The following is a 25,968-nucleotide window of genomic DNA, read 5'->3' on the forward strand; positions in this document are numbered from 1 at the left end:
AGTAATTTCAGGTCCCTGCAAGTCAAAAAGGTTAGATACAAGAGGAAGGAGGAACAGACAGGAGTAAATGGAGGATCAGAAAGAATTCCACTGAATGAGAAACTTTTACAGAGGGAGAGCAAAGGCTTTAAAATAGTATCTGTACACATGTAGCTCAATATCAGCCTTAATCAAGTTGATTTTTGATTACAGAGTTCTCAAAAGAAAATCTGCTGAAATCTTTTATTAATAGATTTTAGCCAAGACAAATAGGTAGTATTTTTGGCTTTAAACTTTTCCAAAGGTAACTGCCCATGGGAAACTTATAAGTCTAACTAAGGTTATGACTTAACCATGGATGCATGAGGTGTCTCACAGAGATGGCAAGCAGTTTTTGCAAGATTGAGAATTTCCCCAAAGATAGCTTAGAAAGGAAAATTTAAGACAGAAAGTGAGAAGATGTCCATGGAGAAGAAAATCATCGAATGAATGGCAAACAGTCTCCAAATATCACACTAGAAAGGGCTTACTGTTTGAGGTGAGAATCAAACCCAGGCTGCTGCAGTAAAAGGGAAAAACCTTAGTTACTGAGCTACAGCATGGGGCAGTTGCTGTTGGTCAGAAATAATGTAGGTCAGTCAGCTCCAAGCTTCAAGGATTGTAACTGCTCAAGAGAATCCTTAAAGCTAGCTGTGACATTATCATGTATCCTTTCAGACTGGCTGCCTGACCTGAATCCAGAAATTCCAACCCTCTGTATGTGGGAGAACAAGGGACAGCACCCTCACATGGTTACGAAGTCAAGTTTTCAAGGACATAAAACAAGATAAGAGGGAAACTTCAACTTTTTTGTTTCAGGGAGGTGTAGCAAATTTTGTTAACTGACAAGTCTGCAGGGCCAGCCCAAACAGTGGGCTTATAGGGATCCTAGGCCCCTTAGGTTCACAGTATGAATGCTGTCTCTAGGAGCAATTGAGGATGTTAGTAATGTTATGGCCTCTGGCTGTATGGCTCTTGAACCATATTTTCTAATCTTGTGGTTAATTTGTTGGTTTTACAAAGGTGGTCTGGTCTCCAAGCAATTAAGGGATTTGTTTCAAGGAAGGGCTGTCATCTTTGTTTGAAAGATAGGCTATAATATTAATGTTCCCTTTGTCCAGGAACAAACAAGGGAAGCTTGGAGATTAAAGGCAAGATGGATTCAGTCAGGTCATCTCTCTTTTACAGTCATAATTTTCTCACTGTTAGAATTTTTTCAAAGGTGATTTCAGGATAAACATAATGTACACATTCCCATTCTATAAGAGAGAAATAGACACAAAGAAAACAGTAACAGCCCCTAAGTAAATTTGAAGTCCAGGAGGGCAAACATTACGTCTTAATGCTGGAAAGCCTTTTTAGTTTTACCCCTTAACACACTGAGATAAGGGTTGGAGTGGCAAGCCCTAGTCAGTGTCACCCCTAAGGTTTTACTTGGTGAATCACCCGTGGGTGCTTGTACTGGTTGAAATTTTCCCAGGCAGGCTTTGAATGCCACAGGGGACTTCACAATCCTGGGATCCTGGTATTGGCACCACTAGGCATTACCCATGTGGAGCTCTCTGTAGTGACTTCACTGCTGTGGCTTCACTTGGCATTGCCCTGGTGGGGACTCTTTGCAGCAGCTCCAACCCCACATTTGTGTTTGGCATCCTTCTACTGGGGGCTCTCTGCAGTGGATCTGGCCCTGTGACAACTCTCTCTCTGGGCTCCCAGGCTGTCAAAAAAAAATACTTCAAAATTTGTGGAGGCTGCCAAGCCATCATTTATGCCTTAAGTGTAAGAAATACATTTATTTTCCTTATAAATTACCCAATAATTTGTATTCTGTTTTAAGCAACAAAGAAGGGACTAATACAGAAAACTGGTAATGACAAGTAGGTTGTTGCTGAAAATGAATACCTGAAAATATGAAAGTGTCTTTCAAATTGGGTGATGGGCAGAGGCTAAAAGAATCTTGGAGAGGGAGACTAGTAAAAGCCTATATTCTTGTGAGGGTTTAGAAGACAGGAAATATTTGGGAGTCCTTGGAGATTGATGAAGTGTTTGTGACCACACTGCTTCGGGGGAAATGGCGCCATATAATGCATGCTGGTTCAGAGCATATACAGCCTTCTAGAGAACCTTGCCCCACAGTTACACAGTATTGTCATCTAGCAGGTGCTGGAACTGTGACTCCCAAAGGTCATTCCACCATTGTTTCAAGTGAGTTGCTTCAGGATTATAGGGAACATGGTGAATTCACTGAAGTTTCTGAGCATGAACTCGTTTCTGCCCTTCTTTGTCTGTGAAGTGAGTTCCTTGTTCAGAAGCAATGCTGTGTGGAATACCATGATGGTAGATAGGCATTAAGTCCATGGATGGTAGTTTCCACAGAATACTTGCATGCAAGGAAGTAAAATTTATAGATGGAGTAACTCTCTTACTGTTCCAGGAAGAACAAAATGCTGCCCCTTCCCTGATGAAAGCTGCCCAGTTAATCAACCTACCACAAGGAAATTGGCAGATCTTCCTGGGGAATGGTGCCATATAGGGGCTCAGTGTTAGTTTCTGCTGCTGACAGTTGGAACACTCAGAGGGGTCTGTAACCTGGTTGGCCATGGTGAAAGGAATTCCAGATTGCTGTGTGTATGCAAAACCTCAGTCCCTACCACTGTGGCCACTTTATTCATAAGCCCGGTGATTGATGACATAGGTGCCTGGGAAAAGAGGCTGACTACTGTCAGAGAATGTATGATCACATCCACCGGATGATTAGAGTCCAGAAGAGCTATGGTAAGAGAGTGAGTCAGTTTTCCTCTGTTTCCCAGCACAGTTTAGCCAACGTTCTCTTTAAGCTTTAAGTGGCTTTTTCTGCTTCTGAGGACTGGGGTCTCCTTGCTGTGTGGAGTTTTCAGGGAATTTCTAGGCCTTGGGCTACCTTTTGAGTAATTTAAGTTATAAAACCTCTCCCACTGGCCGGGCACGGTGGCTCATGCCTATACTTTGGGAGGCCAAAGCTGGCTCATGCTAGCACTTTGGGAGACCAAGGCAGGCAGATCATAAGGTCAGGGGTTTTAGACCAGCCTGGCCAACATGGTGAAACTCCATCTCCACTAAAAAATACAAAAAAACAGCCAGGCGTGGTGGTGGGCACCTGTAATCCCAGCTACTCTGGAGGCTGAGGCAGGAGAATTGGTTGAACCCGGGAGGGAGAGGTTGCAGAGAGCTGAGATCACGCCATTGCGCTCCAGCCTGGGCAACAGGGTGAGACTCCATCTCAAAAAAAAAAAACAAAAAAAAAACTTGTCCACTACATGGTTTTAGGCAGCCCAAACCTAGGAAAATATCCTTTAAGAGATGGCATGATACCTCCGAGGTGGTATCAGAGCGAGTTGATCACCTTTATCCATCGTGGGAAGATAACAACCACACCTAGAAGGTATCTAAAGTTCCCGGGGGTCTGGAGCATGACCGTAAAGTGTGTTTGCCAGTCCTTGCCAGGCTAAATTCCCCTAAATTGTACTCCTTAACATGAGGCCTTGTGGGTGATCTGTTATGGGGACTGTTAGTGTGGCAGAGAGAGCAACTGTGGGTCACTTGCTGCACTGTCTCCAAGGTTGGGAGTGGTCATCATTTGAAGGAGCCAACTGTACAGGGTTATCTACCATAATGTGAGCTCTCATGGGCATCCTTAACTACCTGGATAGCTATGGATTTTTGAAAAAATAGTTGCCTTGAGAATTTTCAAACCATCCTGGATATCCTCTGCTTTTTAAGAAGACTTTCCAGGGGGATTACTGCTAGGGAGCCAGTGTGCCAATTACAGAGACTGCTGGTGTCAAAGAGGCTTTGGGTCTCAGGGGAGACCAGGTGTCACAAGGCTCTTCATGGCTTCATGGGGAGAGTCTAACTCAGGAAATATTTGCTTGGCTTCTCTGGCTTTTATCCTTGTGGAAGTCAATTTACATGTTTTCTTGTAGTCCCTTATTCTGGCATAGGGACATTAATACCTTTTTTTTGTTTGTTTGCTTTTTGCTTTTGGTAAAAGAGGTCTAGTTAGAGAATTTCCCACTATCTGAAATGAAAATACCTTATAAGTGTCCAGAGTACTTGTTACTGCACATCCACTAATTTAAATCTGCATAATGTTATCAATGCCATGGACCAGTGTAGTATCTTGTGGAAGGAGAAGGTGATCAACTTCCTGCAAACTGTGACTTAGTTATGGAGAGTTGATATTATGTTGAGGTAGGACAGAGAAGTTATTGACACTGAAATTAAATGACTTCTGGTGGGCCTTATGAAGAGAAATAGAGAAAAAGCTTCATTAGATCAATAGGTGCATACCAGGTATCAGGGAATGTGTTAATTTGCTCAAGCAATAAAACCACATCTGATACAGCAGTTGCAATTACAAGGAACACTTGGTTTAGCTTGTGGGAATCCACTGTCACTCTCCAGGATCCATCTGTCTTTTGCACAGGCCAAATTAGACAGGGATGTGTTGGAATCTCCACCCCTGCATCCTTCCAGTCCTTGATGGTGGTGGTAATCTCTACAGTCACTCCAGAGGTGTGGTTATGAATTTGATTTTCTATTTTCCTAGGTAGAGGCAGCTCTAGTGCCTTCCATTTAGATATTCCCACCATACTAGCGCCCACTCCACAGGTCAGGGAACCAATGTGGGAAATGTGCCAGGTGCTAACTAGGTCTATTAAAGCTTTGCATCTACAACTAGAGAAATGACCAGAGTATGTGTTTGGGGCCACTGGACCCATGGTGATTTCATGTGACTAAAATTTAATCACCTGACCTCCATAAATCCCCACTCTGACTGGCATTCTATAGTGATGTTTTGAGTTGGGTTGAGTCTTCTGGAATCAATGTAAGGTCAGAGCCAGTGTCTACTAGTCCTGAAAAGTTCTTACTATATTCCTTTCCCCAAAACACAGCTGTTAAAAGGTTATAGGTTCCCTTTTGGGAAGGACAGGAGAAAGATGAACAGTATAAAGTTTTTGTGGTATACCTGGGTCCTTCATCAAGGGGACCTGGCTGCTCCTTTTTTCAAGGATTTCTTGACTATAAACTGGCTCTAGTCTTGGACTTTAGTAGGAGCTGTGATTCTCTAGTATTTTGATTTGAGTTAGACTTTGGTAAACATAAATGTTTTCAGTATTTTCAGATCAATTAAGGGTTTATTAGGCTTCTTTTCTATTTTACTTCTGAGAACACCACAGTCAAACTAGCCAACACCATAGATCTACTTGAGTCAGATGCATCTGAATGTTGCTGTACCTTTGCTGCCCATTTTGGTAACTATGTCCATCTTGACTCTGAAGGTTGACAGCTGCCACATGGCTCTGGGACCTGTGAGATCCAGTTATTCCCAATGCATTTAAATGTTCTATTGAGTGACTGTGGTTCTCAGTATAAGCTTCCACCTACAGAGAAAGTTATTCAAGGATGCTGGTCTCCCCTTAGAAATCAGTTTCTTAAAGTATTGCTGAAAGGTTGGTCTTCTGGAGCCTCCCAGTGTGGGTGAGTAGATTTCAAATGACAAATGCACTCTGGAGTTCCATTCGTTCTAAGCCTTTGAATCTCTTCCTCTACATGAGGCCAAGGGAGATCAGGCATATCCAACTGGCTAAATAAGGGCCATCTTTTGATTTATAGTTCAGCCAACCAACCAAACTGTTAGGGCCCTTTCTAATTTCCCATGCTGCAAAACTAAAACCAGTATCTTTTTTAATGAGTCCATATCAATAAATCTGGGTGATCCAACTTTGTTTCCTCCACTATTATCCTAACTCTTAATACCCTTTTCCACACATGTTCTCCAGATTTCTCCTTGTATAAATTATAAAGTCAAATAGTTTTCTTGAACTGTCATGAACCTCCCATGGGCCAAACTTTGTATATCATTTTTAAGGGCATTTTGAGATTTGAGTCTACTTATAGGCCTAGAAGCAAAAAGGAGTGGTGGGTGTGGGGCCTTAGGAGAATCTGCATTGCAGTCCATTACCTTTCCCTCAGGCAATGCTGGCGTAATCCCCTCAGAGGAGGTGGAACCACCTTTACCAGTGTGGGTGAAGAGGCTACTGCCAAGAGGGTGTCAGTAGGGGGTCAGGTCTGCTGGCAAAGAAGACATCGGAATTTCAGAGCTCAATGTCTCCAGCCTCAACATGGTCTCCCCAAATGTTCCCAACCCACTCTACAGAGTTCCATTCTTCTCTGTACAGTGCTGTAAATTTACAGTAGGTACCTTGCTAGGCTGAAAGTTCAACTTTCATAGTAACTCAGCCAACTGCACGGTGAAGGTTTGTGTTTGACTTTTAGCATTTTCAGCCCTGTGACTATAGGAGATATAATTCTCACTCAGAGCACTGTAAGAAGCTCTAAGGCTTTTTATGTGAAGCCGAATTCTGAAATTTGAATCTCTCTTATCTTTTTTATTGATCACTTTACTCATCAACGCTAGAAGCAGAATCCTTGATTTTCCACAGATATTTAAAGATGTGCTGTCAGAGTCACCAAGTTCCTTGTCTTTTATCAGTGTTGATTAGGAGTGTCAGAGGTAGATGTTTGCATATCCCTTAAGCAGTTTATGACATGGACTAGCAATGTTTTCTGGACTATTAGAAATGGAGTCTTTAGCATTTTTAGGTATCATCAGTTTAGAGATCTAAGTTTAGAAACCCCAAAACCAATGAAAGAAACTCATTCCTAAAATTCTGGTTCTCTACAATCATTCATGGTTTAAAAAATAAAACCTGTTTTAGCATTCTTCAGAGATACAGGACCAATAGGATACATATATAGATAGATGGGGGGGGCATTAATTAGATAAATTGGGTCACATGATTATGGAAGCCAAGACAGGTCTTCTGTAAGCTATAAACCATGGAGTACCAGTAGCATGGCTCATTCCAAGGCTGAAAGTATGAGAATGAGGAAAGCTGACAGTGTAATTCTCAGTCTGAGGCCAAAGGCCTGAGAATGTGGAGGGATGCAGAAGTAAGTTCTGGAGTCCCAAGGAAGAGAGTCTGTAGTTAAGATGTCCAAGGGCAGGAGGCAGAGAGTGTACCAGCTCCAGGAGAGAGGGAGAGCAAAATCATTCTCATTACTTTTTCATTCTATCAGGACCCCTAGCCCACTGGGTGGTGCCTACCCACATAGAGGGTGGATTGTTAAAGAATTCAACTCAGGTCTGCTCACCCAGTGCAGTAAGACTAGACATCTACACTGACATTTGCAGTGGGAGAAAAGGAGGTGTTTATCTGGACATTGTGAAGCAAGGCGGATGAGTCAGCTAATGCTTAAGTTCCGCCTTCCCCAGTGGCTTGCAGGTAAGGGTTTTTTTAAAGCAGGGGTAAATTTCAGGAAAGCAGAAGTTACTGGCAAAATTATAAATCAGTAGTGGAGGTTACACATTGGTTTTGTCCTGAAAAGTCGTGATATTTTGAAGCAGGGGCTTACAGCCCATACATAGATTCAAGGGTTTTCTGATTTGTAATTGGTTAAAGAAAAGAAGAGTTGTTTTAAAATTTGGGGGTTGGCAGAAAAAAATGTTAGCTCTTTGGCTAATGGATTTGCCTCCCTCTAGCCCCTCAGGAAGAAATTTAGCACAAAGAATGGCAGTCAGAATTCAGTTTTCAGGCCCCCCTTATCTGAGGTGTACTTGTCAGCAGATGCCTTTGGTGGGGGTCTAGGTTTATGAAAAATGACTCAGGAATGTATGTTAAGATGCGATCTTTAGAACAAAGCAAACATCTTCTGACTGTAACTACCTTGGCTGTTGTTTAGGCTACTATTACCTTCTTGCTTATCAAGTTCCTCATTTCTTTCTCAGTGCTAGCTAGGTACCAGGGATTTCCCTTGAAGGGACTCACGATTTTCCTTTATTTCCCTGTTTGGGGAAGCTACAGGCCCCTAACAAAGGGTCCCTGTTCCATCACAGGATCTTACCCACTCTGTCTACCGACTCACATTTCAGACCTTTCTGGTGAAACCTCACAGACCCAGAAGTAAAGCTTTGCCAGTGTTCTAGGTGTTCCTTAATACAGTTAGTTGACTCCTAAAAGTAAACATCACATTGGGTTTTGGAGTGTTACCCAAGCAGGTTTCTCATGAGGAGTTCAAATTGCTGGGTTAAGGTGAAGCAACCATGATTTCCCAGAGTCAGAGTTTGACTGAGAGGTGGTTACTGCCGAATATCTGTGCAGTTCCCACAGGGGACAGTGAGGTGAGATAAAGGTGGTATTCATCTGTCTTATATGGAGTAGTCACCTTGAGCAGGTTTTATAAGGGTCTATGTTCAATGACCACCTTGAGGAATGTGGAGGAGGCCACAAACTGGAAACTGTCACGGATTTCTAAACCCTATTTCTGGTATGAGAATGTCAAAACTATGTACAAAATGAATACCCAGGTTATATAAAATTAAAACAATTCATAGCAACATTTAAAATAGGAATTCTAGTAGCCCAATAATAACTCTCTCTCTAATCCTGAGGTAGCAGGTAAATAAGTTGTTCAACTAATTTGAAACTATAGATAAGCATGTTTTCGCAATAATAGACCAGAATACATATGATGAGCCGACAAAATTTTATACTGAGAGGGGGCAGTCACAGAGAAAAAATAGTGTGTTCCATTTATTTTAAAAGGCATATTTTTTACATCTTTCAAATAGAGATCAATCATAATATTGTTAAAAGGCTATTGGTTAGAAGACAGTCATAATGTGATGGACTTTGTGTGCACACAAGTGAACTTGATGTAAAAAACTTCCATTTTCACATTCTGGTGGTATCTTTAATATCATGACTTGGAGAGGGACGTTAGTAGATGAGAAACATAATCTATCAGAAACTCTTATAGTTCTCTCACTACAAATATGGCATCAGCAAAACTCCTAATTACCAGAGATGATGCTAGTGTAGAAAAAATCCATGGACAAGGTGAGTTGCACAGTGATTTAGAAGAGTTTTATCCAAATATGAGAAATTTTAGAAAACCTTGATTACCTATTTTGCTTTCACTTTCTGTCTCATGTGATCATAGGAGTGATATGACATCAATACACACATTTATATAAGTTCAAAAGTGTAAAAAGTAAAATAGAGGTTCCTCTTCAAAGACTTTCCTCCCAATCTCATTAGGAATAAATAGTAACCTCTCTTAGAAGCAAAATTTTTTCAAAGACCTGTGTTAACATTCTTAAATATCTGCTAGCCGTAATAAAGAAATGAATGTACTTTATGTCCTTAGCTCCCACAATTTAACCTAAATATTTGCCCTGGCATGCTTATACTGGTCCAAGCAAGCATTAGGTCATAGCCTGTTCCTCTTCCTTATTTCAAGGTGTTTTTACCTTTCTCCAGATTCCAAAAGTTACTTCCTCCTTCCTTTGTTCTCCTCTGCCTTTGCCTCTTTTAAAAAGTTCTAAGTTGCTAGCCAGTCGGGACAAATACAGAATGTGAGGTCCTGTTCCAGCCAGTGGAAACCGGACACAGCAGTAGGGTGGAAGCATCAGGTTATAAATGACCCTGTCTCCTTTGTTTAGTGTACTCTCATGGCAAAAATGCTGGCGAGTGTACCTTTTCTGAAGAAAATATAAAAATGGCATTGCTGAGGAAATTAAATTTATATTCAACTGCTATTTCTTTATGGCACCAGGGAGCAGGCATTTCAAACAAAAAGTATTATTTTCAACATATATGACATAAAATTTTTGTGATGTCATAGTTTTTCAATAGTTTTATGCTTTTATTGTGATGTAAAATAATGATGTATTTTACAATTTATACATATGATACTTCTTGCAATTACTTGAAAAAAGCTGTCACCAGTAGCAAATACTAACTTAGTGTTTAGGTTAGACCTATGTAAACCAAAAATGACTCACACAGATGGCATTCATTTCAGAGAATTATTTTGCCAAGTTTAAGGATAAAGAAACACAAGTCACAGTAGGCTCTGTGGCCTGTGCTTTTTTCAAAGAGGGTTTTGCTGACTCCCATATTTATAGGGGTGAGACCAGGCAGGAGTAGATGGAGGATAAAGAAAGGGGAGGAAAGACAGTGAGGGAAGTACATCCTTATGAGGCCTGGATTAGCACTCACTGCATCCAGATGTTGCATGTGTAAAGAGGAATGGAGAAAAAGTTGATTGTGCATTTGTCTTGTGCGTGGTAGATCTACATTTTACCTAAGATAGGCAAACTTGTGAAATTACAGCTGTCTCTTTGGGAACAAAAGGAAGGTAGTATTAGCATGACTCAGTTCCTGACTTTTCCTTTGGCATAGTGAGTTTTGGATCCTAAGATTTTATTTTCCTTGTTCTTCAAAATATTTCAGAGAAAGCATTTTAGAAGAAAATGAGTGTTTGGTTATATTTTTTCCCTAATCTTTCAACATTAGGATAGTTTATTCCTAGAAGGTTAGGATCCACATTTTTAAGGAGACTCATTCTAGAAGGTTGTGAAGAAATAGGGGGAAGAAGAAATAAAGGGAAAAAAGAAGGAAAAAGAGACACAGCTGGATTATAGCAACAAAGTAGAAAGCAATCCTTGAAAACCGATGGACTATATTACAGAGCAGTCCATATATAACTAGACAGTCATGAAATGTTTTATGTAAATAAATAAGATGCTGTTATTTCTCCCAAAGTTTAAGTTTTCTAGTTTCAGTGTGCAGGGCTTTACAAAAAGCACAGTTTTCTACTAATTCCAAGTCAGAAAAAAATGGGAAAGAAAAAAAAAAAGACATTGAAAATGTTAGTTTGGAGACTTGTAACCAGCAAAGAATTTAGGATCCAGTCTAGCTAAATTGTAAACCAATAATAAAACTGGAAGACAAAGAACAGGGCTAGAATCCAATAAAAGATGTACTATAGTTTCATTTGAAATACATTTTTTCTCTCTACAGTCTTCCGTTTTTACTAAAGAAAAATCATAGTAAGACCAATTTATTTCCAAAATAAGTTTTAGTTTTATTGTACTTGGCCTGATTATTTTCATAAAGTGCAGCAAGACTATTTTTTTTCCATATAGGCTCTTCTAAGTTGGCATTGATGGAACTTTTTTTTAAACAAAGTGTCTACTATTTGACTTTTCAAATAGCCCCTCAAGCTCAAACAAGCATTTATTGTGCCTGCAAATAACTGTATGAACTGGGTGAATTACTGTCATCTTGAGGTCGCAAGATTACTTGGAGTTCCTAGGCCTGTCAGAAAGTGACATGCGTTTCTTACCACAGATCAGAAAATCTGTAAAGAAACTGCATACGGAAGGCACAGGGCCAGTCTCTCCAAGGGAATTTTACTAGTTCTGTTATTCAACCTAAATTTCTTAAAGCAATCTGCTCATTGATGAAAATATGCAATTCCAGCCAAAGCCTTGGCAAGGTAACCAGTGTCTCCAATTGTGTCCCATTACAAAAAAAAATTGTTATTGATCATATGCAAATAACTTATATTACCATAAATTAAGAATATTCAGAAATAGTTTTCAAATTCTGGGGAAATCAGGTAAAGAGAAAGAAGTATACTTGAAATTTTTCTCTAAAGAGTGTACCATATTCAATTGTTAAAAACTATAAATAGCTAAGAAAAAACCTTTCTTTACTCTGAAAAACAAAAATAGTCATCAATGTTTCAAATAAAAGAGTCCTAAAAATTTGTTTCGTTCTTCTGTTACGTCAGTCCCACATAATTAACTTGTTCTACTTTATATTGGCTTAGCAATCCTCATGAACACATCAGCCTGTTAATTAGAGTCCTGGGAGTTTTGTTGTTTGTATTGTTGTTGTTTTCATTCGTACAATGGCACAATCTCCAAAGTTATCAGAAACCTAAATTCAAGAAAACCTATCAGAGTCATTTTCACCAACTCTTCTAAAGAAGCAAGTTTTGGCCAACTGGTTTTTTATAAACTACTTTTTGAGAATAATCAAAGTAAAACAACAATTGTGAATGAAAAACTCTTAGGACGGTTGTAGTTACAGGCATAGTTGATAAGAAATTTGTTTTTTTCTGTGTCATACAACAATTTAACATAATATAATTATTACTGATAACATATAGTAAGGCATGTCAGAATTATTGGCATCTCATATGATTTTGGAGCACATGCTAATATTTGGGTAAGTAGAACTCAAAAGTTAAATATTTCACCATGCTTCTGTATGATTTTAACATGTTAAATGTGGCTAATTTGTCACTGTTGGACTTCAGGTGACCTAATATTCAAAAAGTTAATTAGGTCACTAAGGGTAAATTAGAATTTGATTTGGAAAGTTTGTCAAATATCAAAGGATTGAAACAGTGTTACAAAATAGAATCACCAATCACGATTAAATGAATTACTCATTAAGTCAAAAATGATATTTTAAATATTTCTAAAAAGCAAAAATCTTTATTCTTTGATATAGAGAAAGGAGATACAGTTTCTTAAACAATAAGGTCTAATATCAGGCTGAGTGCACTGGCTTGTGCCTGTAATTCCATTGCTTTGGGAGGCCGACACGGGAAGATCATTTGAGCTCAGGAGTTCAAGACGAGCCTGGGCAATATAGTGAGACTTCGTCTCTACAGAAAATAAATTTGTAAATTTTCTGGTTGTATTGGTGTGTACATGTAGTCCTAGCTACTACAGAGTCTGAGGAAAGAGGATCACTTGAACCCATGACGTGGAGATTGCAGTGAGCCGAGATCACACCACTGCACTCCAGCCTGTGTGACAGAGTGAGACCCTGTCTCAAACAAACAAACAAAAATACCCTGAAAAAATGAAAAACCAGTAAAACCTAATAAATATAGTATGAAACCAAGTGAACCTTACTCCCCTCCTCTTTTTTTGCAGTTGGCCCAAAAGGCAAACAAAAATCTTTTAGTCTCTCTTAATATTAAACAAGATCCTGGTTCAAAAAAGAAAACCAACTTTACCTTTGCATGGCATGGTATTAATACTAAAGCAATTTTAATAAAATTTTATAAATGAATTCATCAAATATCAATCAGTTTAATCATAAGGTACGATTTAAGAAATGCTTGTTAACCTTTTACTATTTTCTACTGAGAAGCAGATAAATTCTCTGAAAAAATGATGTCCAGATCCTGGGCTTGCATAAATGTGTTTTTTAATGTTCAATTTATAGAAAGACTGAATAATACCCTTTAAATTTCAGCCCACTTGGTCACACACAATATTTCTTTTGTAAAATCAATCTGCTACAAATCTACAATTCCGTCAAACTTTCAGTTTTGTCCTACGATTTTACCTTAGAACAAAAAAAAAAAATTTCCTTCCAAGCTTCCTTTACCTTTCTTTTGAGACAAGGTCTCACTCTATCACCTGGGCTGGAATGTAGTGACACAATCATAGCTTACTACAGCTTCAAATTCCTAGCCTCAAGCAGTCCTCCCACCTTAGCCTCTTCAGTAGCTGAGACAACAGGCACACACTACTGTGCCTGGCTCTTTTTTTTTTTTTTTGGTAGATATGGTGTCTCACTTTGTTGCCCAGGCTGGTCACAAACTGCTGGCTTCATGTAGTCCTCCCATTTGGGCCTCCAAAAGTGCTGGGATTACAGGAATGAACCACCACACCAAGCCCCAACTTTCTGTATCCATTTAGCTTTATCTGTCAGTTTGTCTTCAGTTTAAAGACAACTTGAAAACCTCTACAGTAGACAAAATTACTTTCCCTTTATAAGGAAAACACATTTCTCATACCTTTCTATAGCATTTTTTTTTTTCTAAAAACACATCTCACTTTTATTATGCACTTTGGATGTATCTAGTAGATTCAATTATATATGTTAATTGTAATGTTACCTCTCAGTAACTCTTACTTGCATTGAAAAACTCTAGGAAGTAAGAAATTTTACTTGTGTATCAGGTGCAGAGCCAGGGACAAAAGACAGAGCTGCCAATAACGTCTGACCCTTCCCAGTGTAGTCAGAGGGCACAGTTGGGCTAGGGAGAACACTATATGTCCCCTGAACTTACTATGGCTGTAAGAAAGACAAATCAAACAATTATTTAAAATATCACAGAGCAGTTTATGGCCCTAAAACATCCAGCAAAAACAGTATCTGACTTGCCTGACCAGTTCAGACCAAATATCTAAATTAAATTCTGAAGATATTTCTATTTTATTTTACCAATTGTGTTGTTTTAGGCTCAGGGGTACATTTGCAGGTTTGTAATACAGGAAAATTGTGGTCACAGAGTTTTGGTGTACAATTTTGGAACACACACTAACACATGTATGTGCACTGAACCCAAAGAAAGTTAAATATTTGACCATGGACTTTAATCAAGGGTATGTCTTCTGAATTTAAAGCAATGCTAATAGATTTTAATGTACAGAGCCAGAATTCTCAAGGATAGTCATGACGCTATTGTAAGTCATTTGTAAAATTTGATTCTCTAATCGATTATTAAGAATATGAGATCTCTAAAATCTTTTTTATGTATCTCCAGTCAAAACTTTGTAGAGGAGACAAACAGTGATTTTTACCAAAACAGTAAGAAAAAGTGATTGCACAGTTTACGTAAGTTGAGATCTTTGAACCTAAGAATTTGTAACTGGCTAAGAAGAAAGCTAGACTCAAAGCCACCAAATCCCATTTAAAAACCCCCAGCCAGCTCCTTACTTGGAGATGCTGGCCCAAGTGGAAGACTGCGCTCTGCCTCCTCAGAAGCAGCAAACTCCCAGAGAGGGAGTTCTACAAGAGAACATACCTCAGACCTCCAGCAAAAAGTTTGGGAGATCAGGGATCTGTGTAGGGGGAGGCTCCCAGACCTCAGCAAATCATCCAATCAGTCAGAGCAATACAAAGCTTCCAGTTGGCTGTACCAGGGCCCTTCTAGGAGAGTTGCTGCAGGCCAAAGGGCGAAACTCTGCACAGAACTCATTGTGCTTTCCAAAATATAAACTGAAAAGTGACTGAGGCAGGTCTCAGTAAATTTAGAGCTAGATCTTGCCAACGTTGAGAAAGTGCATGGGAAAAAGCAACACAAATTACAGCAGGATCTGTGATCTGTGCTTTTTCCAAAGCAAGTTTTGATGACTTCAGCATTTAAAGGGGAAAAAGTGAGCAGTAGGGGAAGGGGGAAAAAAGCAAAGAGGGCTAGGCACTGAGGCAAGCGTTTGCATTCTCGTGAGGCTTTGATTAGCACTCACTGAAACCACATTTGATATGTGCAAATAGAGGAGTGGGGGATAAAGTTGAGTATGAATTCATCTCGTGTTTGCTGGATCTACATTTTGCATAAGATAAAGTAACCATGTATAATTACAGCTGTCTACTTGAGAAAAAAAGGAAGTCAGTTTTAGTGTGACACAGTTCCCAAGCCTAACTTTCCCACTGGGCATAGTGATTTAGTGTCCTGAGATTTTATTTTCCTTTCAAAGCTGCTATTAGTCTACACATTTTGTGTATGAGTGCATTAAGTTGTTACAGCATCTCAAGAGGTAGACACTACTGTGACCTTCTGAAAGTTCTAACTCTGAATCTGAGCTAAAGCCCTATAGGAAAAGACTTAGAACAACTTTGAGTTTGACCCAGTGTTCCTACTCACATCAACTATGTTAGAATAGCATTTCTCTCTTAGAATAAACACTTTGTAGGTGCTTTTTAAGAATTCCTCACCTACCCTATTGTAATGAAATTATTTTCCTATATTAAATTCTAAATACTCCATTGAATTCTTTTTTCTATGGAGGTCTATAATCCACCTGAAGTTGATTTTGTGCATGAGTTTAAAAGTAAATTTTATTTCTCCCGATGGACATTAGGTATACTGAAATATTTATTGAAAATTCATCTTTTTCCAGCCTGGCACGGTGGCTCATGCCTGTAATCCCGGCACTTTGGGAGGCTGAGGTGGTGGATCATGAGGTCAGGAGATCGAGACCATCCTGGCTAACACGGTGAAACCTCATCTCTACTAAAAATACAAAAAATTAGCCAGGGGTGGTGGCGGGCACCTGTAGTCCCAGCTACTTGGGAGGCTGAGGCAGGAGAATGGCGTGAACCTGGGAGGCGGAGCTTGCAGTCAGCCAAGATGGCCCCACTGCACTCCAGTCTGGGTGACAGAGTAAGACTCCGTCTCAAAAAAAAAAAAAAGAAAAAATAAGAAAATTCACCTTTTTCCATTACTTTTTCTTTTGGATTATTTGTTTATATAGGCATCTATCAGATTTTCAACTCTTTTTTTATTTTTATTGATTCTTTATTTTATTATTATTAATTTTTTGAGACACAGTCTCGCTCTGTCACCCAGGCTGGAGTGCAATGTTGCGATCTCGGCTCACTGCAACCTCTGCCTCAAGGGTTCAAGCAATTCTCCTCCCTCAGCCTCCTGAGTGGCTGGGACTACAGGCACACGTCCCCACACCTGGCTATTTTATTTTATTTTATTTTTAGTAGAGATGGGGTTTCACCATGTTGGTCAGGCTGGTCTCAAACTCCTGACCATACGCCTTGGCCTCCCAAAGTGCTGAGATTACAGGTGTGAGCCACCGTGCCCAGCCTATTGATTCTTCTGTCTGTGGTCAAATATTACATGTTCTTATATTTTGGAGAGTTCATTTCACACTAGACATTTCCCTGCAGAGACTGTTCTCTTCATCACTGTGCTACTGAAGACAGGGAAGGATAAAACCTTGCATGTCTTGCACTTACATTAATATTCCCAGCTGTACCTCGAAAAAAAAAGCAGGTTATAGAACACCTGTGGAGACAAAATGACCCATCTTGGATGCTAGTCCACCATGTTACTTCTGATTTGCCCCTGTTCAATGAATGCCTTCTGATCTCTCATTTATTTACTGTCCTTAGTGTAAAATCATGTCAACCTGGGTGTTACCACAAAAATTACAGGCTATGAGACAGGTAGTCCTCCTGGATTTTCTGCCTTCTTCTTTAATTTTTCAGATCCTTTGGCATTTGAGAGTTGCTTTGTGTATACGGCCCTTTAATGGAGCAAATGGCCAGCCAGGAAACCAAAGTATGGACAAGGGGAAAGAAGCATCTGTGGAGGAAGTTTTACAAGCGACCCTCCTCATCCATGTGGGTGGCGTTCCCATATGCTACATGTCTGTGGGCCACTATGTGTGTTTAAAGCTTTTTAGTAAAACGTTACTAAAAACTATGACTCACTGTGGTGAAAAAGGTGGGAAAACAGTGACAACAGTAAGTTTGCTGCTGTTATTATCTATGTGAGTGGTCACAAAAGCACAGGTAGCAGCTGAGGCAAGGGTAGGGAAGCTAGGAAAAGAATCGCAGTGAGAAAGGGATGAGAACTTCCATGTCTGTGTTAATGTCTGGTTTTATGATAAACTTGAAACTCAAGAGGCACAGTTGGAAATTGTACCTTGCCACTTTGTGTGGCTGAGAGAGAGAAAAATGTGCTAGCTGAATGTGTGGACTGTCTTTGCCAGTGGAGGCTGGGATGCAAATACTTGTAATTCTTGGCAAACAACCAGTGAGCCAGATGATGACATAGAGTTTAACTCAGAGGAGGAAGATTATTATCCTTCCCATTTGAGAGTGAAACTGTTCATGCAGTGGAAAGCAAAATTCCAACACACAGAGGCCTGGGTAGGATTACTGGATATAACAAAAACTTTTAAACAGCTGCCAAGAGAAAGCCTTATGTACATGAATGGTGCAGCTATGGGACACCAGTAGGGATGATATCTCCCTAAAAGGGAATGAACCTGAAAAATTGAGACAGAAGTACCCCCGGAAGTGAAATAACCCCTTTATGGGACAAGATATAGGGAAAGCCATTTCAGATTTCCTAGAAACTCAAAAGGGAAGAGATTAGGTCTGACTGGTTGCTAAAGGAAAATGGAAAAAGGGAGAAACAAAGTCTGCTGGACTGGAAAAATGAGTTTAAAAAGGCACAATTAAGGTTACTAGGAAACAAATGTGGTATGATCTGATTTCAGCTGGGATTGACAAAGAGAATATAGATGGGCAACCCAGTGGCATATTAGTGGGGTATGGAAAGACCTGACTCCTGATCAATAGTTTAGACACCTTCTTATTACCTCCCCCACCCCCCATGAGAAGAGGGAGAAAGACAGGAAGAAACCTTTGGTAAAAATTCAGGGGTGGACTTCTTTCCAGCCTGGAGATCATAGGTAGGGTCAAGGCTGCTTCTGTGCAAGAGCAATAGGGGGTGACCAGAGGCCGTATTTGGAGCTCACTATTGATTGGAGTCTTAAACAGCACTAAGAGAACCTTAGCTTTAGTGGGCACAGGTGCAGAATGTGTCTTAATTGATGGAAATCCAGAGAGACACCCTGGTAAGTGGGAAGCTATAGATGGTTGTGAGGGGTTAAAAATCTGAGAGAAACAAACTCCTCTCCTCCTTAGTTTTGTCTGGAGTTCCCCCTTTGCTTACTCTCCTGTCTTTATCTCACGTATTGCAGAAAACATCTTGAGTATGGATGTCTTCTTAGGATGCACTTTACAAACATCTGTGGGGGAATCTCACCTATGACAAAGGCTATATTAAGATGGGAGGCAAAATTAGAAGGTGTACACCTCCCTCCCCCACAATGTATTGTTAATGTGAGACAATACCATCTTCCTGGTAGAATACAAGAAATCACAGCCACCGTGGAGAAATTGGCCAAAGTTAATATTATCTGGCCAGCCCAGAGTCCTTTCAACCATCCTGTGTGACCAATAAGAAAATCTGATGGCACTTGGATATGACAGTAGATGAGTGGACACTACTGATCTTTCTAAGATATATGCTCCTTTATGTAATATAACTCAAGTGATTGAGCAATTAATACAAAACATAGGCACTTATCATGCTGTGTTAGATTTAGCTAATGCCTTCTTTAGCATCCCTTTTACCTTGACTTGCAGTCATTATATTGATGTTACTCTAACTTCTGAAGACTTGTCATTGCTACAGCAACATGGATATGCATTGACACCGTTCTTCAATCCAGAGGATGGGCCATCAACTCACAAAAGTACAAGGCCTGGAACCAGCTGCAAAGTTCCTATGGATCACTTGGCCAAGTAAGACACACCTTACTTCAGGCTTGGTCATTGAGAAAATATAACAGTTTTCCATACCTAAAACAGTTAAACAGTTACAAAGTTTCCTAGGTCTTTTGGGATACCAGTGGGCTTTCATTCCATGTTTACCTCCATGTTTGCATCCCCATACTGACTATTAAAGAAGCAATCTCAGCTGGGCACAGTAGCTCACACCTGTAATCCCAGCACTTTGGGAGACCGTGGCAGGCAGATCACTTGAGGCCAGGAGTTCGAGACCAGCATGGGCAACGTGGTGAAACCTCATCTCTACTAAAAATGCAAGAAATTAGCCAGGCATGGTGATGTGTACCTGTAATCCCAGTTACTTGTGTGGCTGAGACATGAGAGTTGCTTGAACCTGGGAGGTGGAGTATTTAGTGAGCTGAGATCGTGCCACTGCACTCCAACTTGGGCAAAAGAACTAGAAACCCTGTGTCAAAGCAAAAAAACAGATCTAGGATAAAGAACTAAAGAACAAGTGGTAGCATTTGAGAAGGCTAAAATATTGATTGCTCAGGCACAAGCTCTAGTTCCCCGCTTCTGGGATACCAGTGTCTTTTGATATGACTGTAAACCCTGAAGGGACAAAACAGGTCCTCTGGCACGTTCAGCATGGGAAAGCAGTTCTTCTAAGATTCTGGTCACAGCTATGGAAATGTGCTGAAACCCACAGTTCTCCAATTGAACAACAGGTTCTGGGAGCATGTAAGGCCATGCAGCACATTGAGCCTGTAACTGATCATCTGCCAGTAACAATGAGAACAGATCTCTCCATTAAGGGCTAGATAGAAGGGTTGTTTTCCAGGCCAATATCAGCTATTTCTCAAGTCTCCATTATACAAAAGTGGCATGCATACCTGCAAGAATGTAGCGCCCTCTCCACGAGTCCTTTGGGAGATGCATGCTATCATAGGGCCAAGACACTATGAGACCAGTGCTGCCCCTGTTGTGGAGCCCCTGCAGGAGATGCCTCTGGTAATATACGAAGGCACATCTCCATTCCTGAAAATGCCTGGCACTTAGATGGATGGAGCTGAGGTAACCCTTGTGTATAGATGACAGTAACTGTACAGTTGCAGACAAATACTGTCTGACAGAGATTGTTGAGGTTTCCAACTATAATAATGAGTTAATCTCTTTCTGTTTGCAGTTATATGAGTTTTGGCGTTACATAGTTTGACATTCTGTTGTTAGGCACTTAAATGCTTTAAGGATTATTACGTTGTACTGGAGAACTGACCCCTTCATCTTTGTGTAATGCCCGTGTTTATTTTTAGTGACTTTCCTTGCTTGAGGACTTCTCTGTAATTCATGCAGCAACTCTTCCTTTATTTGATAAGTGTTAGCCTAGGCTATTTTGTTTCATCTATTTCCTTTAAATGTATACATGTCTTTATATTTCATAGATTTTACTTAACATCATTTAGTTGGGTTGACTTTATTGATCTACACTGACATTCTCAGTTCTTTGATTGATGCTTTTAGATTACTGACAACCAATGGAGTTGGATTAATATCAACCATATGTGTTACTCTTTTTGATTTGTTGCCCTTGTTCTTTCTTCCCTTTATTGTACTTCATTTATTTTCTGTGTTTTGTGGTTTTAATTGAGAATTTTATGCAATTCTGTTTTCTCTCCATTCTTAGCATATCAATTATATAACTTTTTTTTGACTATTTTAATGGTTGCCCTATGGAATAAAACTTTCATTTTTCATATTCTTAATTTAGTCTCACAGATAATGGTTTCTGGAAAATAATAGTAGCACCAATCTATTTGATTAGGCATGCTTATGTCTATATGTTATATGTATATAAATATACATGTATATGTGCATGTGTACTCATGTATAAGTGAAAGGAATGACAGCACTAATAGGGAGAACAAAAGAGTTAAGATTATTTTGTTATTCTAAGATATTCACACTACCTGTGAGTGATACAGTGTTTTTTCAAAAAACACTTTTTGAGAAGTATCTTGGATTCATTTTAAATGTAATATTGCAAACTCTGGGTAAGGGTTTTGGACCAAGGGCCTCAGTTCTTTGCTTGCTTTGGCCTGTTTCTGAATTTAGTTTCCTCCCATGTTGGCTTCTCCCATATGGCAAATGTTCCATCAAAGCCATCAAGGGAGGGACTTTGCTAGCAAGACAAGAATCACAATCTAACATAATATAATCATCCTGCTAATGTCCCATCACCATTGTAGTATTCTGTTGATTTTAAGCAACTCACAGTTTCTGACTACATTCATTAGAAGGAATTAAAATATGAAGTTACTTATCAACTTCACTTATACTTAGAGGTGGGAGTCGTTGGGTGCCATCTTAGGTTCTACCTACCACATCTGATCTTCTCCAATATGAGATAGTTTTTCAGTCTTCACTTATTTTCTATTACCTTGACCCTTTTGACAAGGACTGGTCAGTTCTATTGTAAAATTTCCCACAGTATGAATTTGTCAGATGTCTTCTCATAATTAGACTAGGGATATGGATTAAATTCAATATTTTCAATATTTATATTTATTTAAATTTAAAGATGAGACAAAACAATATAATATTTATATATACAAACATACAGGAAAAATGAATATCAGAAAATTAGAGACTGACAAAGATAATCCATAATAATAGTTACCTTCAGCTGTTAACATAGATGATGAAATTCAGGAGATACATTCAGGGGACATCAATAATATTGTTAATGTTCTTTCTGTTTTATAAGCTCAGCAAAGGCTTAAAATAAAATAAACTTTTGAAATTTAAGAATAGTTTTAGATTTACAGAGCAGTTCCAAATATAATATAGAGTTTCCACAGACTCCATACACCATGTTCCTTAATAACCCCCTTACATTAGTGTGGGATATTAGTCACAATGAACCAACCAATATTACACTATTATTAACCATCCGCGCTTTATTCAGATTGATTTAGTCATCATTTAATGTCGAGTTTCTGTTCCAGGATCCTATCCAGGATACCTCATTACATTTACAATTCATGCTCCTTAATCGACTTTGACTGTGACAATTTCTCCAAGTTTGCATGATTGCTATGACATTGGCATTCCTAATTTGGGATTTCTTTGGTGTTTCTTTCATGATTAGAATGGATTGTAGGTTTCAGGGAGGAAGACCACAGAGGGAAATTGCCATTCTCATCACATCCTGTTAAGGGTACAGACTGCAACAGCTTTATCACTTTTGATGTTAATTTAATCACCTGAATGAGATAGTTCCAATCAAATTTCTGCACTGTGAAATTACTGTTTTTTTCTTCTCCTTTCCATGTTGTATGTTTCAAAAAGAAGTCACTACACACAACACACAAATAAGAAGTGAAGACTTATGTTCCACTTCCTAGGGGCAGAGTGTCTGCAAAAATTATTTGGAATTAATCACAATGAACAAATGCCTATTCTTCTTCAATTGTTCCATATTATTCCATCATTGTTCTACCCATAGACAAATATGGGTACTTATTTTACACTTCACTTGAAATAATTTATTTGGCTTATTGCTCAAATTGCTTCAGTATTGTCCAAGAAACTTTCTTTTTCTTTTTTTTTCCTTTTTTTTTTTTTTTGAGATGAAGTCTCGCTCTGTCACGCAGTCTGGAGTGCACAGGCGCGATCTCGACTCAGTGCAACCTCTGCTTCCTGGGTTCACACCAGTCTCCTGCCTCAGCCTCCTGAGTAGCTAGGACTACAGGCGCTTGCCACCATGCCCAGGTAATTTTTTGTATTTTTAGTAGAGACAAGGTTTCACCATGTTATCCAGGATGGTCTTGATCTCTTGACCTCATGATCTGCTCGCCTTGGTCTTCCAAAGTGCTGGGATTACAGGCGTGAGCCACCGCTCCCGGCTGGGACTTTCTTTCAGTTGGATCGTCTATAATTTTGAAATCTCCCCATAATTATGGTTTGTTGGTGTTGTGTGGCTGTTTGGTTTGTTGCATCGTTGGTTGGCATTTTCTTTTCTTCTGGCACTACTAGGTGCTGCAGGCTGATTGTGTTTATTCGCTGTCTAACCCTATTTTATCCACCGTTTCTTCACAATGCCCTAGTTCCTTTGAATGGAAAATGGGATTAGAAATGAAGATCTAGAGACTGTGGTATATTCATTGCCCCTAGGGCATCTGATGACTTGAGGCCGTGTCAGCTGACTGAGCAAAAGAATACCCATGTGTTTACTGACTTACAAATATATACAAGTGTATAAATACTTCAACATGTATGCATAGGTATCTATATTAAACTAACCATGAGTTCCACGTAATGTTTCTGGCAGCACATGATCTAATTCAGTACCACATGAAGCTGTCTACCTGTTCCAACTCGCTTGTATGTAGCTTGCACCTCTAACATGGAACTAGTTGGCTTTATTAACATAATGATATCATCCAAAAAAACATGCATAGTGTTTTCAAAAGTAGTAATTTATACACCCCTGGGAAACTACTTTACCAACTAAAACTAAGTCCTTATATACAAATTATTTGTCCTTTTGACTTAGAATCTCAGAATTTCCCTCTATTTCCTAATTTACTTAGGTTAGCCCCCTTTTCCCACTCTAGTGAGCTTATTTCACACATTTGTTATACAGTTATAATATTTAGTTAATCTCTCTCTATCAACTAAATAAGGCTTTTTTTTTTTTTTTTTTTTGTTGGATACAGTCTCGCTCTGTTGCCCAGGTTAGAGTTCGGTGGTGTGATCTTGGCTTACCTCAACCTCTGCCTCCCAGGTTCAAGGACTTCTCCTGCCTCAGCCTCCCAAGTAGCTGGGATTATAGGCATGTGCCACCATGCATGCCTGATTTTTGTGTTTTGTATTTTTAGTAGAGGCAGGGTTTTGCCATGTTGGCCAGGCTGGTGTCAAACAACTGTCTTCAAGTGATCCCCTCCACCTCAGCCTCCCGAAGTGCTGGGATTACAGGTGTGAGCCATGGCGCCTGGCCTAAATAAGGTTTTTATTTTACCATCTGTGTGTTATGAAGTTCTGTAGGTCTTGAATAACAGTGTCACATATTCAGTGTCACGTTGTCGTATAGAACAATTTCACAGCCCCAGAGACATTTCTTGTACTTTACTGATTCAAATTTTCTGTGGTCCAATCCCTTCATACTCACCGAATACTTTACTGTCTCTGTACTTTTTTCTTTTTCAGAGTGTTATATAAATGGCATCAGATAGTATTTTGCCTTTTCCAACTCGTTTTATTTAGTTATCAAAATGCTGTTTAGGTTTGTAAAGTATATCTTATGGTTGTTTAGATTTGCATTTCTTGAATAACAAAAGAATTGAGCATGTTCTCGTGTTTATTGGACAAAACTACAACATTTTTGGAAAAATGACTCTTCAAATTATTTGCCATTTTTGATTAAGATGTTTGCCTTTTTATTTTCGAGAAGTAAGACTTTTTATCTATTCTGGATAACAGACCCTAATTAGCTATGAGATTTTTGAAGATTTTCTCTCATTCTTTGGTGTTGCCTTTTTACTTTTAACCATGTACTTTGAGTCACACAATACTTTTTTGTAATGAGTTCAATATGTCTGTTTTTTAATTTTAATACTTGATTTCTGATGAAGTTCTTTATGTCTTTTTAAAATTATGTTCATTTGCTTTAGGTGTCATAGCTTAGAAACCATTGTTTAACCCAAGGCTACTGTATTAGTCTGTTCTCCCATTGGTATAAAGAAATACTGAGACTGGGTAATTTATATAGAAAAGAGGCTTAATTGGCTCATGGTTCTGCAGGCTGTACAGGAAGCATAGTGACTTCTGCTTCTGGGAAGGCCTCAGGAAATTTCCAATCATGGTGGAAGGCAAAGGGGGAGCCAGCACTTCACACGGCCAGAGCAGGATGAAGAGAGGGGCTGGAGTGCTACACACTTTTAAGCAACCAGATCTTGTGAGAACTCACCCACTATCAGGAGAACAACACCAGTGGTGCTAAAACCATTCATGAAAATCACCCTCAGGAGCCAATCACCTCCCACCAGATCCCATGGCAAACACTGCAGATTACAATTTGACATGAGATTTGGTGGGGACAAAGATCCAATTTATTTCAGCGATGAAAATGTATTCTTATGTTCTATGGAATTGGTCTATTTGGCCCCTATATTTAGATGCATAATTAATTTGAGTCAATTATGCATATGGTGCTAGGGAGGAGATAACTTCCATGTAAATGTCCATTTGTCCCAGCAACACTGTGTGAGGAAATATTTCTTTATATTGAATTGACCTGTCAACCTTGTAAAATTGTTTTACCATGCATGTAAGAATTAATTTTCGACATTTGATTTTATTCCATTGATATATATGTCTCACTATTGGGGGAAATTCAGCCAGATATCAGGCGAAATTCACCCCCGATATTTCACGTACGTTCTTTTCTAGATTCCCTGAGTGTCGGCGGGTCTGAGAAATAAAGGGACAGAGTACAAAAGAGAGAAATTTTAAAGCTGGGTGTCTGGGGGAGACATCACAGGTCGGCAGATTCCGTGATGCCCCCCGAGCCGTAAAACCAGCAAGTTTTTATTAGTGATTTTCAAAAGGGGAGGGAGTGTACGAATAGGGTGTGGGTCACAGAGATCACGTGCTTCACAAGGTAATAGAATATCACAAGGCAAATGGAGGCAGGGCGAGATCACAGGACCACAGGACTGAGGCAAAATTAAAATTGCTAATGAAGTTTCAGGCATGCATTGTCATTGATAACATCTTATCAGGAAACAGCATTTGAGAGCAGACAACCAGTCTGTCCAAAATTTATTAGGCGGGAATTTCTTCATCCTAATAAGCCTAGGAGCGCTATGGGAGACTAGGGCTTATTTCATCCATACATCTTTGACCATAAAAGATGGCTGCCCCC

General features: G+C 39.4%; 1 long non-coding RNA gene across 1 annotated transcript in view; it reads left to right on the forward strand.

Annotated features, from left to right (window-relative positions):
• Positions 1–25,968, forward strand: part of LOC105370733 (uncharacterized) — a 440,742-nt gene that overhangs the window by 207,546 nt on the left and 207,228 nt on the right. The window contains exons 1-2 of the long non-coding RNA XR_007064537.1: positions 16,521–17,204; positions 18,949–19,058. This is a non-coding gene — a long non-coding RNA (uncharacterized LOC105370733). Of the gene's footprint in view, positions 17,205–18,948; positions 19,059–25,968 lie in introns of the transcript that reaches the window.

This window comes from Homo sapiens, chromosome 15 (genome assembly GCF_000001405.40).
Source record: "Homo sapiens chromosome 15, GRCh38.p14 Primary Assembly".
Lineage (NCBI taxonomy): Eukaryota > Metazoa > Chordata > Mammalia > Primates > Hominidae > Homo > Homo sapiens.